General features: G+C 40.1%; 1 long non-coding RNA gene across 1 annotated transcript, besides 1 other annotated feature; it reads left to right on the forward strand.

Annotated features, from left to right (window-relative positions):
* The first annotated feature begins 215 nt into the window (after positions 1 to 215).
* LOC105374515 (uncharacterized) lies at positions 216 to 16,042 on the forward strand. Its single transcript, XR_925451.1, has 2 exons — positions 216 to 284; positions 15,613 to 16,042. It is a non-coding gene; the product is annotated as an uncharacterized LOC105374515 (long non-coding RNA).
* Positions 15,794 to 15,969: a silencer, noted in NCBI's record as "fragment chr4:20675647-20675822 (GRCh37/hg19 assembly coordinates)". NCBI's record gives its function as "represses an EF-1alpha promoter that drives an FKBP-Casp9 reporter gene in an ReSE screen in K562 erythroleukemia cells {active_cell/tissue: K562}" and the evidence as "EXISTENCE:reporter gene assay evidence [ECO:0000049][PMID:32094911]".

An 18,482-nucleotide genomic window follows, 5' to 3' on the forward strand; every position in this document is an offset into this window, starting at 1 on the left:
AATGGTGTTGCCATGGTTTCTCTAGGAAGGCAGCATTTGTACTGAATGACAAAGAGTCATATTTGCAACCTAATGACAGATTTTTTTAGGCTGATAGCTTGTGTTAAAGTTCTAAGGCAAAAAGAACTGGAGAATTGGAAGAATAGAAGGCAGGTAGACACAAGGACAAAAGGAAGATTCTAGAACTATAGGGTATTTGCTTGTCACTCTAAAATTGGAAGCCAAGTTTTTCTTCCCCTTTTTCCGGAAGGGATCGCTTTGGTAAATCCTCCTGTCATGAACATGTAAGTCAGGGGTCTATTCTCTCACTTTGTGGTAGCCTTGCCTTTTGATGAGGAAACCCTAATTCAAATACCGCAAACTAGAATGTGATATTTAATCATGTGAAAAGGCTGGGAGGGCAGACAGAGATAGTAGTTTTTCTGGTTAGGGTGGATTTTTCTGTGCTTAGAGATTTGTGATTGTTAAGATACTTCTATTTTTTTTTTCTCCAGAGGTCAGGCATAGCGTTTTAAGGGCCTTGACCTTGGGAAGAAACTGTAAGGCAGAGGACTCTGATTTGAATAATACTGTAGACCAAGTTCTAAAGACAGACATGACCCAAAGAAAACCTGTGAGATGGAACCTGGCTAAGAAATGTTCAGAGAAATGAAGTCCAACAACCATCTGAAAGTTTTCTGAGTTGTGATCTATTCCCTTACCCAATTCTAAAGTCTTCAGTGATACACAGTATCAGCTTTATGTTAGCACTGCCTTTCTGAATAAAGTGTAGGATAAGGCAAACTAAGGAAGGCTAAAGCATTAGGAAGTGAAGTAAGGATGTGACCCAAGGTAATCAGGAAGAAATGTGGGAAGGACAATTTATAAGAAAATTCAAATGCAGATTCCCCTACAGATACTCAGGAATCCTGGGAGGAGACTAGATTTCCTGAAAGACAGAGGGCTACTCAGAAAGCTGTACAACATGAGGATACTTGAGTTACATAAAAATCATCACAATAATTACAATAACTAATGGAACACCTACTAGATCCCAGACACCATATTTACATACATTGTCTCACTTAATCTTCACAATAACCCTGTGGAATAAATACTGAATCTCTAATTTATAGAAAAGGAAATTAGCCACCATAATAATAATAAAAAAAAAAACTCCACATCTCAGAGGCTTTCCAAAATAGAACTCAGTTTCCTACTCAGGTAAAACAGCAACAACAAAAAAGGGTGTTCTTCATCAGCGTGTGTCAAAGGCATTAGAACCAGAGTCAGCCACTTCATCTTGAACAGGGGCTATGTACAAGGAGTCTGAAATCTGCTGGGCTGCATTTTCAGGAGGTTTAGGCATTCTTAGGCACAGGATGAGGTCAGAGGTCAGGACAAGATACAGGTCACAAGGACCCCACTGATAAAACAGGATGCGGTGAAGGAGCCAGCTGAAACCTGCCAAAACCAAGATGGCAATGAAAGTGACCTGTGGTTGTCCTCACTGCTAACTATATGCCAATTATAATGCATTAGCATGCTAAAAGGCACTCCCACCAGGAGCCATGACAGTTGACGAATGCCATGGCAATGCCCAGAAGTATATGGTCTAAAAAGGGGAGGAACCCTCAGTTAAGAGAGGGGAATCCTCACCCCTTTCTGAAAAAACTCATGAATAATCCAAAACTTGTTTAGCATATAATCAGGAAATAACAATAAAAATAGCCAACCAGCAGCCCTCAGGGTTGCTCTGTATGGAGTAGCTATTCTTTTGTTTCTTCTCTTTTTTTTTATTACTTCTTTTTTCTTTTTTTTTTAATTATTATTATACTTTAAGTTTTAGGGTACATGCGCACAATGTGCAGGTTAGTTACATATGTATACATGTGCCATGCTGGTGTGCTGTACCCATTAACTCGTCATTTAGCATTAGGTATATCTCCTAATGCTATCTCTCCCCCCTCCCCCCACCCCACAACAGTCCCCAGAGTGTGATGTTCCCTTTCCTGTGTCCATGTGTTCTCATTGTTCAATTCCCATCTATGAGTGAGAACATGTGGTGTTTGGTTTTTTGTCCTTGCGATAGTTTACTGAGAATGATGATTTCCAATTTCATCCATGTCCCTACAAAGGACATGGACTCATCATTTTTTATGGCTGCATATATGTGTATATGCATGTGTATATCATATATGTGTATATGCATGTATATATGTGTATATCCATGGTGTATATGTGCCACATTTTCTTAATCCAGTCTATCATTGTTGGACATTTGAGTTGGTTCCAAGTCTTTGCTATTGTGAATACTGCCGCGATAAACATACGTGTGCATGTGTCTTTATAGCAGCATGATTTATAGTCCTTTGGGTATATACCCAGTAATGGGATGGCTGGGTCAAATGGTATTTCTAGTTCTAGATCCCTGAGGAATCACCAAACTGACTTCCACAATGGTTGAACTAGTTTACAGTCCCACCAACAGTGTAAAAGTGTTCCTATTTCTCCACATCCTCTCCAGCACCTGTTGTTTCCTGACTTTTTAATGATTGCCATTCTAACTGGTGTGAGATGGTATCTCATTGTGGTTTTGACTTGCGTTTCTCTGATGGCCAGTGATGATGACCATTTTTTCATGTGTCTTTTGGCTCCATAAATGTCTTCTTTTGAGAATTGTCTGTTCATATCCTTTGCCCACTTTTTGATGGGGTTGTTTGTTTTTTTTCTTGTAAATTTGAGTTCATTGTAGATTCTGGATATTAGCCCTTTGTCAGATGAGTAGATTGCGAAAATTTTCTCCCATTTTGTAGGTTGCCTGTTCACTCTGATGGTAGTTTCTTTTGCTGTGCAGAAGCTCTTTAGTTTAATTAGATCCCATTTGTCAATTTTGGCTTTTGTTGCCATTGCTTTTGGTGTTTTAGACATGAAGTCCTTGCCCATGCCTATGTCCTGAATGGTAATGCCTAGGTTTTCTTCTAGGGTTTTTATGGTTTTAGGTCTAACGTTTAAGTCTTTAATCCATCTTGAATTGATTTTTGTATAAGGTGTAAGGAAGGGATCCAGTTTCAGCTTTCTCCATATGGCTAGCCAGTTTTCCCAGCACCATTTATTAAATAGGGAATCCTTTCCCCATTGCTTGTTTTTCTCAGGTTTGTCAAAGATCAGATAGTTGTAGATATGCGGCGTTATTTCTGAGGGCTCTGTTCTGTTCCATTGATCTATATCTCTGTTTTGGTACCAGTACCATGCTGTTTTGGTTACTGTAGCCTTATAGTATAGTTTGGTAAGTCAGGTAGTGTGATGCCTCCAGCTTTGTTCTTTTGGCTTAGGATTGACTTGGCGATGCGGGCTCTTTTTTTGTTCCATATGAACTTTAAAGTAGTTTTTTCCAATTCTGTGAAGAAAGTCATTGGTAGCTTGATGGGGATGGCATTGAATCTGTAAATTACCTTGGGCAGTATGGCCATTTTCACGATATTGATTCTTCCTACCCATGAGCATGGAATGTTCTTCCATTTGTTTGTATCATCTTTTATTTCATTGAGCAGTGGTTTGTAGTTCTCCTTGAAGAGATCCTTCACATCCCTTGTAAGTTGGATTCCTAAGCATTTTATTTTCTTTGAAGCAATTGTGAATGGGAGTTCCCTCATGACTTGGCTCTCTGTTTGTCTGTTATTGGTGTATAAGAATGCTTGTGATTTTTGTACATTGATTTTGTATCCTGAGACTTTGCTGAAGTTGCTTATCAGCTTAAGGAGATTTTGGGCTGAGACAATGGGGTTTTCTAGATATACAATAACTAAACTTGTTTTCACTTTACTCAGTGAACTTACCCTGAATTCTTTCCTGTGTGAAATCCAAGAACTTTCTCTTGGGGTCTGGATTGGGACCCCTTTGTGGTAACACATGGATTTCAAAGCCAGTGAGAAGCCAAGACCCGGGCTCCTTCTACCCTGTGGCTCCATCATTCTCTATAGATTTTGGTGACAATGTGTGTCTCCCTGGAGGAAGAAGAGGAAGCACAGAGTATGTCCAGGGAGGGCTTTATGGGACATCTAATTAGCTAGAACTCAGTCACATGGCCACACCTGCAGCAAGGGAAGCTGGGAAAGGAAATTTAGCTGTTTCCTGGGAGATACAGGAAATGAGTTTGGAAATAGGTAGCTAGTCTTTGCCTTGTTTGGAATTGTCCTGGTGGCTGGTCTAGGAATGTCAGAGGAGGGATTTAAAATGATTTTTTTGTTTGTTTGTTTCTATAGTCCATGAGACACTGTTTATGCACATAGAGTCTAGAATTTGGGAATTGTTAGATTTATCCTCCTTGATTCATTGATTTATAAGGCTTGGTTTCTAAACTGCACCTGTGGTAGAAGTGGGTTACCAAATGACATCTATGATAATAAGCGGATAGCAAACACTAGCTTTGGAGTCAAACATATCTGGTTTTCCTCATCACTAAAATTTAGAAAATAGTATGTGTCTTAGAATGTAATTGTTAGAAATAAGTAATACATGCAAAGTCCCCCAAAATATGCCTGGTACATAGTACAAGCTCAATGAATAGTAGCTCTCTTAATGTGATTTGTCTAATGAGATAAATAAGAGTAAAATGAAATGAGGTTTGACCAACAAGAGAAAATCAGAGTATTTAATGCACAGCTGTCTTAAGGTCTTGAAAAAATGGTAAGGAAGCTGATACATTAAATTCTGAGCAATGGAATGGCCCCAAAAGTGGATAATGTGATCATAGCTCACATACAGAAAATGAAAACATATCAGGTGTCCAGAGAAACCCAGAATTTCCTGACACTGAAACTTGAGAGAAATTTTATAAAAGAGACAATGGTTTAGGAAGTGAGTCACATTCTCAACCAAAGTAACCTCAAATGAGTAACAAATTTTCTAGAACTGTCTCTTGTTGTAATTTCCTTCAGCGACATACAACCAAAATAAAATTTGAAAAAAGTTCAGTTCTATAAGGGTCAACAAAATGAAGGCCAAATAACCAGCTCTCTGATTATTTAACTTGACCAAAGAATAACATTCAAAGATCCACAGGAATGAATGAACACATCCTTGGTGCCTGTGTCCCCCAAGAAGGGAATCAAACACCCCAAGATATGTGCAAAATAATCCAGGAAAAAAGGGGAGACAATATTTACAACTTTCAGCAATATTTATTTTTATTTCATACTTTTGTGTTTTTACTTGGTTCCCAAATGTATGTATTTTCCTAGTCAACATACATAAAATCAATTTAAAAATAAGTATATCCATAAAAATAAAATATACTACAATATTTATTTAACTTATATCAGAAAACAGGAATAGCCAAAAGGTGGAAGGAACCCAAGTCCATATACAGATGAATAGAAAAGCGAGATGTATATACAACATACAATGGAATACTATCAGCCTCAAAAAGGAAAGAATTTCTCATACCTGCTTTAACATAGATGAACTTTGAAGACACTATGCTACATGAATAATTCAGACCCAAAAGATCAAGTATTGTATAATTCTACTTATATGAGGTACCCAGAAGAGTCAAATTCATAGAGACAAAAAATAGAGTAGTGGTTACCAGGAGCTGGTAGAAGGCAGAAATGGGGAGTTATGTAATGGATACATAGACTCACTGGGGAAGATGAAAAAGTTCTGGAGATGGATGGAAGTGATGGTTGTACAACAATCTAAATATATTTAATGCCACTGGATTACACACTTAAAATAGTTAAAATGTTAAATTTTATATTATGTATATTTTACCACAATAAACAAAATTTAACTTTGAGAGACCTCTGCTTTAGTTTATCATCCATGAATATTGAATTCCTTTTTTGTCACAGTTGAACTTTCAGTGAGAATTGAAGAACAGGATACTAAGGTCATGTGCTCTGACCAGAGCCTACGAAGTTTCCATTTTTAAATTTTCTTTTGCCTTTGTGTGATACTATGATACGTGGAAAAGGTACCCATATGAGAATAAAATAGACCCATGTTTGAATGGTGATGCCATCCCAGTTCTCTTTTCCTCAGGGGGTGGGTGACCTTGATATTGATGTGGGTAATGCCCTAATCTGGGTGCTTGATGCCTAGTAGCTGCCCAGGTAGGTACTCACCTCACCTTTAGAGCTAACCTTAAGGAATCAGCTGCTTTGTCTCAGTGTCTGAGTCTCCAGTTTATTCATCTGTGGGGCAGCTCCTTCCCAGAGAAATCTAAGTTCAGCGAAATTTGGTTAATATAATTCATTTAAGGCAATCACATAGTCATTATATCAGAACTGTGCTCCAATCCCTAATTTTTATGTTTTTGAGAAGTATATTCACATTAAGCAAAAATTAAACACAATGATAAGGAAATACCCAATTGTCTTCCTCACCCTGGAGTAAAATTCCCTAACCTACTGAAAAGAATGTAGATTGAACAGCAGCTGTGTGACTGCATTAGGGCTCTAATATGCAGTGGAAGTCACTGAAATACAGTGGCTTAGTGAACTACCTCTGATGTCCAGGGCCTGACTGTCAAACCTCAACTCTAGCATATGTCTATCATGTGACCTTAGGCAGGTCAATTTGCCAGTCTTAGTGTCTCAGTTTCCTCATCTACAGTGTTCACGTCACAGGGTTACTATGAGGGTATAATGGCTTCAACTATATCCAGTGATTAGAATCAGCACTTATTAAACACTCAATAGCTATTAGCTATTATTGATGGTTCTGTCCCATTTCCTATGTGCAGCACTTAAGCTGAAGATGAATTTCTTTTTGGTTCAAGATGCTGCTGTCTCCTCAAAAGAGAGATTCCAAACCCAACCAGAGCAGTGAGAGCATCCTCATCCCATGGTTTGGTTCCTATATCGGAAACACCTCCCTTCGCTGGTTTCCTACTGGATCATAAGCCAAAACTACCTTCTTATTTTTCAGAATTCTTGACCAACTAAGTTGCCCCCTGACCACACAGACATCTGCTTTTCCTAGTTCACTCAGTGCTTCTAACCCTGGTCCCTACCACATGTGCTGTTAAGAATGACATGATGTAGGGGGCTCTTTCCATACCCAGCTCTCTGGACCACAATCTCCAAGCCACAGAACCAGGCTCTCTTCCTTTCCAAAGCTCACCCCAAACTTTCCACTTTGCTTTGTATAATGATTGTGGCTCAGCTCTGCACATGTGGACTCTGGATATGTTTCCAGCTTCTTGACTTTTCTTGGAACTGAATTGAAAGTTTATTTTACTTTGCTCTTTCATAATTTTTATTTTTCTGAGTTTGACAGTATATAGAGTCACTTATTTTTTAAAGCTTCTAAATTCTTGTTGTTGTTGTTGTTTTCCTATTGGAACCAGCATTAGGAGATACTTTCATATGAAATAAGAATTCAACTTAATGGTTCACTAACTGCTTTGGTGCTGGCTTCACGAAGCTTCTCAGGTTGGGAATCCACTGGTCATTCACATCCAGCCAAGGGCCACACCACAGTAGCTCAGTGAGATCTCTCTACCCTGCAGAAATGTTCAAATGTTGGAAGAGCCTTTTAAGAGTATCACATTTTCTTCAAAGTAGTAATAGCACCTCCTACATTTAAGCCTTCATAGTCTGTATTCTCAAACTCTGGGATTCTAAGAAGATAATTAATAAAGATTAAGAAGTTGTATGAAAGGAACTAGAAATTCAAATCCCAGTTACTAGCTGAGAAACACTAAGTCTTTCTCCTTCTTCTTTATCCATCATATATATAAAGTGGGGATAGGGATGTCTGTGTCACAGGACCATAGGAAAGATTAATGATAATATGAGCAAGGTGCCCACAGCCATGAGTGGTCCATAAAAGGTGCTTAATCAAGAATTATAATTATTAATATTTTCCATCTTTCAGGTAGGTGTAACTTATTTTCCTGTGGTGAGTCTGCACTTCCTTTGCTTTTGACTGGCAATTTATGAGCTGAGTATCCTGACACTGGTTAGCTCATGCTGACCGAGAGCTCTGATCAACAGTTATAGATGTCTGTACTTGAAATCAAGAAAATAAATTATTTCAGGGGGTATGGTGGACCAAATATTTCACAAGATGAAGCCCACAGGTGAAAGATTACACAAGTGTGTGATGACAAGTAGGTATTATTAAAGAGGTGGGGTTTGGAGGTCAGTGTCTGACCACCAGTAAGCCTGTGAACTGCTCTCAGATTTGGGCTCATCATCTGAGAAATGAAGATAATATATTCTGCCTTCCCCAGAGTTATTGTGATGACAGACATTTAGATAATACATAAAATTCCTAGCACTAGCCCAAGACACAGTAGGGTCACCACAAATGATCATTCTCAACTTTCCCTTTGTGGTAAAATGGTGGGAAGCACAGTTCCACCCCCACACTTGCTCACTAATGCACACACACATGGGAAGGAGTTTTATTCCCGAGAATGACGGTGCCATATATCACTAATAGCGGGTGATTAGGTTAGGCTGCAATCCTGAGTCCAGGGGATTCAGTGCCTGCTTCCAGAGATCTAAATCTCATAACTAAACAGGAGGCCACTCTTCAAATTACTTCAGAAAGCATTTTTCATTTTTTTCTTCTATGGGCATTATTAACTTTTAAAATGTACTTTGTTTTAGCTGAGTGCATCCCAGCCTCCTCTGCTAGCCACCACCTCGCCTCTTGTACTGATGGTCTCCTCACATCCTCACGAAGCTCGTTTTTTTGTCCATCAGCATTCAAAATCTCCCCTTTCTGACCTTGCAAGAAAAGTGCTTCTAAGAGCTGGGAGAGGAGTGGGCTGGGAAAAAAGGCTCAGAATTATCCTGGCTGAATTTGGCATTTGCTACAGTCTTTGATCTCGGATGCAGTAACGTGTCAGCCAGACCAAAGTCATTTTATATAGAGGTCTGCATAAGCGAAGTGGAGGGACTTCATGGTTAATTGATTAAAATGGTCCAAAGAAGGTGTGAGATCAAAGGGCTGCTCACTGGTTTTATGTTTCCCTGGGGTCCCGCAGGCCAAGTGGGTGACACAAATGACCTTGGGCGTGAGGGTATTCAAATGCTGGTGTTTGTTTGTTTTATTCCAAAACACAATTTGTGTTTCCCAGGGCTTCCTGATGACAGGTTGTATTGTGGGCTCCCCATGGCCCTCATCTATGTTTAGGGGGGCCTCAAGTGGAACAGCAACCATGAGCAGGAGGGCATGACCCTGTCATGCTGCCACCAGTGCCTCTTTCTGCCAAACCCCAAGGAAAAAGACTCCATTACATTACTGGAAGGCGAAGACCACAATTTTCTCTTTATCTTTTTTTTTTCTTATTTCCAGTAAGGGTCAAGAAAATGTTGTCACAGTGCAGGATCAGTGCCTGGACCTGAGACAAAAGGGAGGCTAGAAAATGTTTCATTGTTCCAAACTGTCCTGATAAGAGCCAGAGGAATCTGCTGGGCAAACGTGTCTATCAAAAGGCTCCAGGGATTAAAAACGTAGCACAGAAGGAAGAAGTAATAGTAAGAGAGGATCTGCTGCCCAGAGAAGCATCATCAACTATCATTGGTGACACTGAGCATTAGCAATGGAATAACTGTTACCGTTTATCAAGTTGCTGCAATTTATCAGGCACTAGCTAGTGCTAAGTGTAGCACATCCCTCGCAAATTCTCATTAATCTTACTTCCTAATAGACAGAACTGAGGCCAGAGACCATAAAGATCCCTTCAGATCACAACTTGAGCTTGGATTTGAAATCGTGTTGGTCTGGCTCTGAAGTACACACCTCCATCATCCTGTGATGGGCCTAATTGTGTCCACCAAAAATTCATGGGTTGAAGCACCAATCCCAAGTTCCTCAGAATGTGACTGCAATTACAGGGAAGGCTTTAAAGAGGTAATTAAGTTAGGATGAGGTCCCTAGAGTGGTCCTACTTCATTACAACTGGCATCCTTAGAAGAAGAGAAAATTTGGACACAAACTGGTACAGAAGGAAGACCCTGTGAAGGCAGAGAGGAGACAACCATCTACAAGCCAAGGAGAGAAGCCTCAGAAGATATCGACCCTGCTGAAACCTTGATCTTAGACTTCTAGCCTCCAGAACTTTGAGAAAGTAAGTTTCATCCTCCTTCAAATGGCTTCCAGATTGCGAGGTGGCTGCCATCCACTCCATGTCTGCATGCCATGGAGCAACAAGGGAGCAGGAAAAGGGTGAAGTGTGTTTATTTGGTAAAAGACACTGTATTCGTTTCCTATTGCTGCCGTACTGAATTTTCACAAAACTTAAAGCAAAACAACAGCGGCTAAAAACAATGCACATTTGTTATCTTACTGTTCTGGAGACAGGAAGTGCTTTGTTAGGAGGAATGGACTCCCTCTGGAGGCCTTAGGGGAGAATCTGGTTCCTTGCCTTTTCCAGCTCTAGAAGCCACCCTCATTTGTTGGCTTGTGGACCTTTTTTGTCTTTTTTTAATTTATTTATTTTTTTTTTTTAGTATTATACTTTAAGTTTTAGGGTACATGTGCACAATGTGCAGGTTAGTTACATATGTATACATGTGCCATGCTGGTGCGCTGCACCCACTACCTCATCATCTAGCATGAGGTATATCTCCCAATGCTATCCCTCACCCCTCCCCCCACCCCACAACAGTCCCCAGAATGTGATGTTCCCCTTCCTGTGTCCATATGTTCTCATTGTTCAGTTCCCACCTATGAGTGAGAATATGCGGTGTTTGGTTTTTTGTTCTTGAGATAGTTTACTGAGAATGATGATTTCCAATTTCATCCATGTCCCTACAAAGGACATGAACTCATCATTTTTTATGGCTGCATAGTATTCCATGGTGTATATGTGTCACATTTTCTTAATCCAGTCTATCATTGTTGGACATTTGGGTTGGTTCCAAGTCGTTGCTATTGTGAATAGTGCCGCAATAAACATACGTGTGCATGTGTCTTTATAGCAGCATGATTTATAGTCTTTGGGTATATACCCAGTAATGGGATGGCTGGGTCAAATGGTATTTCTAGTTCTAGATCCCTGAGGAATCACCACACTGACTTCCACAATGGTTGAACTAGTTTACAGTCCCACCAACAGTGTAAAAGTGTTCCTATTTCTCCACATCCTCTCCAGCACCTGTTGTTTCCTGACTTTTTAATGATTGCCATTCTAACTGGTGTGAGATGGTATCTCATTGTGGTTTTGATTTGCATTTCTCTGATGGCCAGTGATAGTGAGCATTTTTTCATGGGTCTTTTGGCTGCATAAATGTCTTATTTTGAGAGGTGTCTGTTCATGTCCTTCCCCCACTTTTTGATGGGGTTGTTTGTTTTTTTCTTGTAAATTTGTTTGAGTTCATTGTAGATTCTGGATATTAGCCCTTTGTCAGATGAGTAGGTTGTGAAAATTTTCTCCCATTTTGTAGGTTGCCTGTTCACTCTGATGGTAGTTTCTTTTGCTGTGCAGAAGCTCTTTAGTTTAATTAGATCCCATTTGTCAATTTTGTCTTTTGTTGCCATTGCTTTTGGTGTTTTAGACATGAAGTCCTTGCCCATGCCTATGTCCTGAATGGTAATGCCTAGGTTTTCTTCTAGGGTTTTTATGGTTTTAGGTCTAACGTTTAAGTCTTCAATCCATCTTGAATTGATTTTTGTATAAGGTGTAAGGAAGGGATCCAGTTTCAGCTTTCTCCATATGGCTAGCCAGTTTTCCCAGCACCATTTATTAAATAGGGAGTCCTTTCCCCATTGCTTGTTTTTCTCAGGTTTGTCAAAGATCAGATAGTTGTAGATACGTGGCATTATTTCTGAGGGCTCTGTTCTGTTCCATTGATCTATATCTCTGTTTTGGTACCAGTACCATGCTGTTTTGGTTACTGTAGCCTTATAGTATAGTTTGGTAAGTCAGGTAGCGTGATGCCTCCAGCTTTGTTCTTTTGGCTTAGGATTGACTTGGCGACGCGGCCTCTTTTTTGGTTCCATATGAACTTGAAAGCAGTTTTTTCCAATTCTGTGAAGAAAGTCATTGGTAGCTTGATGGGGATGGCATTGAATCTATAAATTACCTTGGGCAGTATGGCCATTTTCACGATATTGATTCTTCCTACCCATGAGCATGGAATGTTCTTCCATTTGTTTGTATCCTCTTTTATTTCATTGAGCAGTGGTTTGTAGTTCTCCTTGAGGTCCTTCATGTCCCTTGTATGGTGGATTCCTAGGTATTTTATTCTCTTTGAAGCAATTGTGAATGGGAGTTCACTCATGATTTGGCTCTCTGTTTGTCTGTTATTGGTGTATAAGAATGCTTGTGATTTTTGTACATTGATTTTGTATCCTGAGACTTTGCTGAAGTTGCTTATCAGCTTAAGGAGATTTTGGGCTGAGACAATGGGGTTTTCTAGATATACAATCATGTCATCTGCAAACAGGGACAATTTGACTTCCTCTTTTCCTAATTGAATACCCTTTATTTCCTTCTCCTGCCTAATTGCCCTGGCCAGAACTTCCAACACTATGTTGAATAGGAGTGGTGAGAGAGGGCATCCCTGTCTTGTGCCAGTTTTCAAAGGGAATGCTTCCAGTTTTTGCCCATTCAGTATGATATTGGCTGTGGGTTTGTCATAGATAGCTCTTATTATTTTGAGATACGTCCCATCAATACCTAATCTATTGAGAGTTTTTAGCATGAAGCATTGTTGAATTTTGTCAAAGGCCTTTTCTGCATCTATTGAGATAATCATGTGGTTTTTGTCTTTGGTTCTGTTTATATGCTGGATTACATTTATTGATTTGTGTATATTGAACCAGCCTCGCATCCCAGGGATGAAGCCCACTTGATCATGGTGGATAAGCTTTTTGATGTGCTTCTGGATTCGGTTTGCCAGTATTTTATTGAGGATTTTTGCATCAATGTTCATCAAGGATATTGGTCTAAAATTCTCTTTTTTGGTTGTGTCTCTGCCCGGCTTTGGTATCAGGATGATGCTGGCCTCATAAAATGAGTTAGGGAGGATTCCCTCTTTTTCTATTGATTGGAATAGTTTCAGAAGGAATGGTACCAGTTCCTCCTTGTACCTCTGTTAGAATTCGGCTGTGAATCCATCTGGTCCTGGACTCTTTTTGGTTGGTAAGCTATTGATTATTGCCACAATTTCAGCTCTTGTTATTGGTCTATTCAGAGATTCAACTTCTTCCTGGTTTAGTCTTGGGAGAGTGTATGTGTCGAGGAATTTATCCATTTCTTCTAGATTTTCTAGTTTATTTGCATAGAGGTGTGTGTAGTAATCTCTGATGGTAGTTTGTATTTCTGTGGGATCGGTGGTGATATTGTGCTTGGGACATCAGAGCAGAAGAAAAGAGTCTTGGTTCCTGATGAGCCACCAGCCCTCAGATGCTCATCCCTGAACTTCCTGTCACACAAAACAAAGGAAATGTGTTGTGTTTAAGTCACTATACTAGGATTTTGTGTAGTAATGTGTCAGAGCTGACTCTCATCAACTTCTGAAAGGTAATTGTTAAATTTTTCAGAACTTTATAGTCAATTGTTAACACAGACGTTATTAAAAATTAAGTTGTGGAATCTTACAATTAAATTATATTTAAAATGAAAAAAAAAAAAGAAAGTAAGTTTCTGTTGCTAAGCCACCCAGTCTGTGGTCCTTTGTTATGGCAGCCCTGAGAAAAGCTAATGCATACCCTTAGGCTATGTCTAATTTCCCAGAGGAATGACCCAGGAAGGCAGGTGCTTAAGAAATGCCCTTACATTTCCAACTTGCTGGGTGTAAGACACAAACAATGCAGTTATCAAAGAATTATGTTTGTGCGGTTTTTTTGGGGGGAGTGGTAATCGAGTACATTTCCTGCTGAAATAATATTGTTTTTTCTATGTGTGAAACATAGTGAGAATTTTACATCCTTTTAGAAGCCGTCTATAACCCCACAGCACCCGAATAATTTAGACGAGTCTTTTTTTGCTATCTGAATATCTGATGTGTCTCTCCTCCCTAACACTTAGCACCGCTCTCTATAGTTACTAACTCTCTGCATCCTACACTGTAAATACTTTGAGATCTTGAATTTGTCTTTTTCAGCTTTATGTTCCCAGGAACAAGTAACAAGCTTTATTCAGGAGAGTTACATGAAACAATGAAGGTAGAAAGACAGACATATCTGAATGAGGACATACATTACCATGATTATCTAGTCAGAGCCACTGTCCTGCCAGTCAACTCAAGATGACATTCCTAGAGTTAAGAACACAAAGAAAGGGCTCGGGTTACTAAATGAATGAGCATGTGGATTTTTTATCTTGTTGGAAGAAATGACAATCTAGGTACTTAACACTCAGAAAGCAGGAAAAAAAAAAAAGGCAGTAAGTAGGCAGAAAGGAGCTGGGAGAAGGGAAGCCAGGCAACATGGCTGCCAAGGGCCCCAGTCCAAAGTGGGCAAGATGTGGGTGAGGTGATGACCAGGGTGGGTCCCTCAGCCTGGCAAGGCTGACACCAAAGCCCATGCTAACACCCACCACTCTGTCATCTTCCAGGGCACTGTAATTTTAGAGACTTATATACACCTCACACTTTTCCCTTTTCTTCTTTTCTCTTGTCCTTTTCTCTCTTTTTTCCTCCAGTTTTGCCTTTTTATATCCCTTAGAATTTAGTGAACACTCTGTTGGAAACACCAGCCTTCTTCATTTGTGCTCAGATAAAACTGTGGACTGTAGCTGTGTTGATGTAGAGTCTGGCATTTTCTACAAAGAGCAGGCTTCTTGTACGGGAAGAGAGCTATGAATCCCCAAAGCAAAAGGCCCACCTTGCTTCTTCAACAGCCACACCAAACTTGTCCTGCTTTGCTAAAAACTACAGAGAGCTATGTGTTTTGTCTTAATAAAAGTGACCCTGTTCTTCTGTGTGAATCTTAAAGATCAGTGTTACAAGTTCTCAACAGTTGTCTGTGGGTGGGGTGTCAGCTAAGGAAGGGCTATTTTTAGATTTTAGTCAGGTAAATATATGAATAAGGTTACCACATAGCTTCTAGGACCCCTTTCCTTCTCACTTGGCTCTTGTTCCTCTGTTACCCAAGCTGGAACATTTGGACTGTGGATTTCACTATGACAGTCTGTATCTGTGATGGTTAATACTGAACTTGATTGGATTGAAGGGTACAAAGTATTGATTCTGGGTGTGTCTCTGAGGATGTTGCCAAAGGAGATTAACATTTGAGTCAGTGGGCTGGGAAAGGCAGACCCACCCTTAAACTGGGTGGGCACCATCTAATCAGCTGCCAGCATGGCTATAATATAAAGCAGGCAGAAAAACGTGAAAAGACTAGACTGGCCTAGCCTTCCAGCCTACATCTTTCTCCTGTGCTGGATGCTTCCTGCCCTTGAACATTGGACTCCAAGTTCTTCAGTTTTGGGACTCAGACTGGCTCTCCTTGCTCCTCAGCTTGCAGACGGCATATGGTGTGACCTTGTGATCCTGTGAGTTAATACTTAATATACTCATATATATATATACATATATATATATATCCTATTAGTATATATATTAGTGTATATATATATCCTATCATATATATATGTATGTATATATTTTATTAGTTCTTTCCCTCTAGAGAATCCAGACTAATACAGTATCTTCTCTTTTACAGTTTTAGAACCTGCCAAGGAAGGGTATGCAGAATTTTGCAGTGCCTTTTACAAGCTGTGCTAAATCCAGTGTCCATGCCACATTCCTTTTCATTGATATAAAGGCAACTCGAAGATGGGATACTATTGACAAGGGGTCACAAGTACCCTCCACTCATTTCTCTATGCGGCCATCCCATGAACAGTCACTGCACAAGAACTCCATTGGCTCTGTTGGATGCCATGCTAAGAACAGGATGGACACCAAAGAGTAAAGCTCAACAGATCCAGATCCAAAGTAGCAAACAAGCCAGGGGTGGAGACTTCAAATCCTAAACAGTAATGCAAGGGTTCCACAGACATAAAATATCACAAACATAAGTCTTTAGACGCAACTTTTGATTCTGTACCAAGAAAATGACATGGACAAGAAATAAAACATTTCATGATAGAGTCAGGTTTAAAGCTGCTGTTTGTGTGGATCAGCAGAAGGAACATTTTTAACAGGGGTAATAGTAAATGGGCAAAGGAAGTCCCGCAAGAAATAATTTTTTTTTTCTTTTGAGATGGAGTCACCCAGGCTGGAGTGCAGTGGTGCCATCTCAGCTCACTGTAACCTCCGTCTCCTGGATTCAAGAGATTCTCCTGCTGGCTGGGACTACAGGTGTGTGCCACCACACTTGGCTAATTTTTGTATTTTTAGTGGAGATGGGGTTCCTCCCTGTTGGCCAAGCTGGTCTCAAACTCCTGACCTCAAGTGATCCACCTGCCTCAGCCTCCCAAAGTGCTGGGATTACAGGCATGAGCCACCATGTCCAGCCCAGCAAGAAATAATTCTGTCAGGAAAGAAGGATGCTCAGATGAGAGGCTTATCTTAGTCTGTTTGGGCTGCTATAACATAACACCATAAACTGGGTAGCTTGTAAACAACAGACATTTATTTCTGACTGTTCTAGACGCTGGGAAGTCCAAGATCAAGGAAGACTTCATGTCTGATGAGGGCCTGCTCTCTGGCTCATAGATGGTGCCTTCTTGCTGCATCTGCATGGTAAAAGGGGTGAGAATTTTCTAGTCCTTTTAAATAAGAGCATTAATCTCATTCATGAGGGCTCTACTTCCATGTCCTAATCATCCTCCAAAAGCCCCACCCCCTATTATCATCACACTGGGGGTTAAGATTTCAACATATAAATTTTAGGGAGACACAAATACAGTAAAAATGGAAGAAAATGAGGTGAAATGGTTCATGTAGTGGGCTGAATAGTGTGCCCTCCACCAAACTCATTCAAGTGAATCTCAGAAAGTGACCTTATTTGGAAAAAAAAGGCTTTGCAAACTTAAGTAGTTAAGATGAGGTCATAATGGACTATAGTGGGCTCTAAATCCAATGAATGATATTATTGGGGGGGAAAAAAAGAAGAGAGGATACATAAAGAGACACAGGTCAGAAGGCCATGTGAAGATGGAGGAAGAGATTTGAGCAAAGCTCAGGAGTGCCAAGAGATGCTGGGAGCCCCCAAGAGTTAGGAAGACTCAAGGAAGGATTCTTCCCTAGAGCCTCCAGATGGAGCATGGTCCTGCTGACACCTCGATTCTAGCCTCAAAAGCTGTGAAAAATGAATTTATCTTGTTTTAAGTCCCGTGTTTCTAATAATTTGTTATGGAAACCTTGGTAAACTAATGCAGTTAGGATCATGCAGATTAAGAGTCTCACTCTGTAATTAGATGCACCAGGAGTTATATCACAGCTCTGCCACTTCCTAGCTGGGAGACTTTGGACAGGTCAACTTCTCCACACTTTAACTTCCTTAGCTATAATATGGATAGATAATACCTATCACATGTGGCTTCTGTGAGAATTAAATGAACTAAAATATACAATGTGCTTCACATTGTACCTGACACAGAGTAAGCACTCCAACCATGTTTCTTATAATCTCTACTCTCATTATTTTTAATAATATCACACTGAGTTTTCTCTGTATTTGAAGTACTATGATGGATGCTACAGGCAATATAAAATTTAATAAAATATTTCTTACCCTTAAATTACTTTCTTAGTCAGCTCAGGCTACTATAAAAAATACCACAGACTAGGTAGATTAACAACAGATATTTATTGCTCACAGTTTTGGAGGCTCAAAGTCCAAGATCAAAATGCTGGCAGATTTGGTTCCTGGTGGAGGCCAGATTCCTGGTTTGTAAATAACCACCTTCTCACTTCCAGCTCACATGGCTTTTTCAATGCTTGGGCATATGGAGAGATAGGGAGAGAGGGAGAGAGGAGTGAGAGGAGAAAGAGGAGGGAGAGAGGGAGAGAAGAGAGGGACAGTGGACAAGAGGGAGAGAAGAAGGAGAGAGGGAGACGAGAGAAAGAAGGAGATACCTCTGTCTTCGTTATCTTATAAGGGCACAAATCCTATCATGCAAGTCACACCCTCATGATCTAATCTAAACCTAATCACCTCCCAAAGTCTCCACCTCCCAATACCATCCCATTGGCGGGTAGGGCTTCGACATATGAATTTAGGGGGTGGACACATTCAGCCCATAACAATTGCTAAAACTAAAAAGAATTCGATCATCCACACCTCCACAGGGCACTACAGTGAAAACTTCAACAGAATGTTATCTATTGATCTTTTACGATAAATGTTAGATTTTCTAAAATAAAACCCATAAAATGACATTTCCTTTTCTCTAACATTCTCACTTCTATTTTATGCAGGAGGCTGCAAGGGTATGCAGACACTTGAGGGACCTCTTGTGTTAGAAAATGCAGGAAATGTTTGGCTCTAAGACTAGTTTTACTGGCAAAGAGCAAGTTGAGACACAGCTGAATACATCCAGTGGGGGAACAAAAAAAAAAAAAAAAATGTCTGGCAGGCCAGCA

This window comes from Homo sapiens, chromosome 4 (assembly GCF_000001405.40).
Source record: "Homo sapiens chromosome 4, GRCh38.p14 Primary Assembly".
Lineage (NCBI taxonomy): Eukaryota > Metazoa > Chordata > Mammalia > Primates > Hominidae > Homo > Homo sapiens.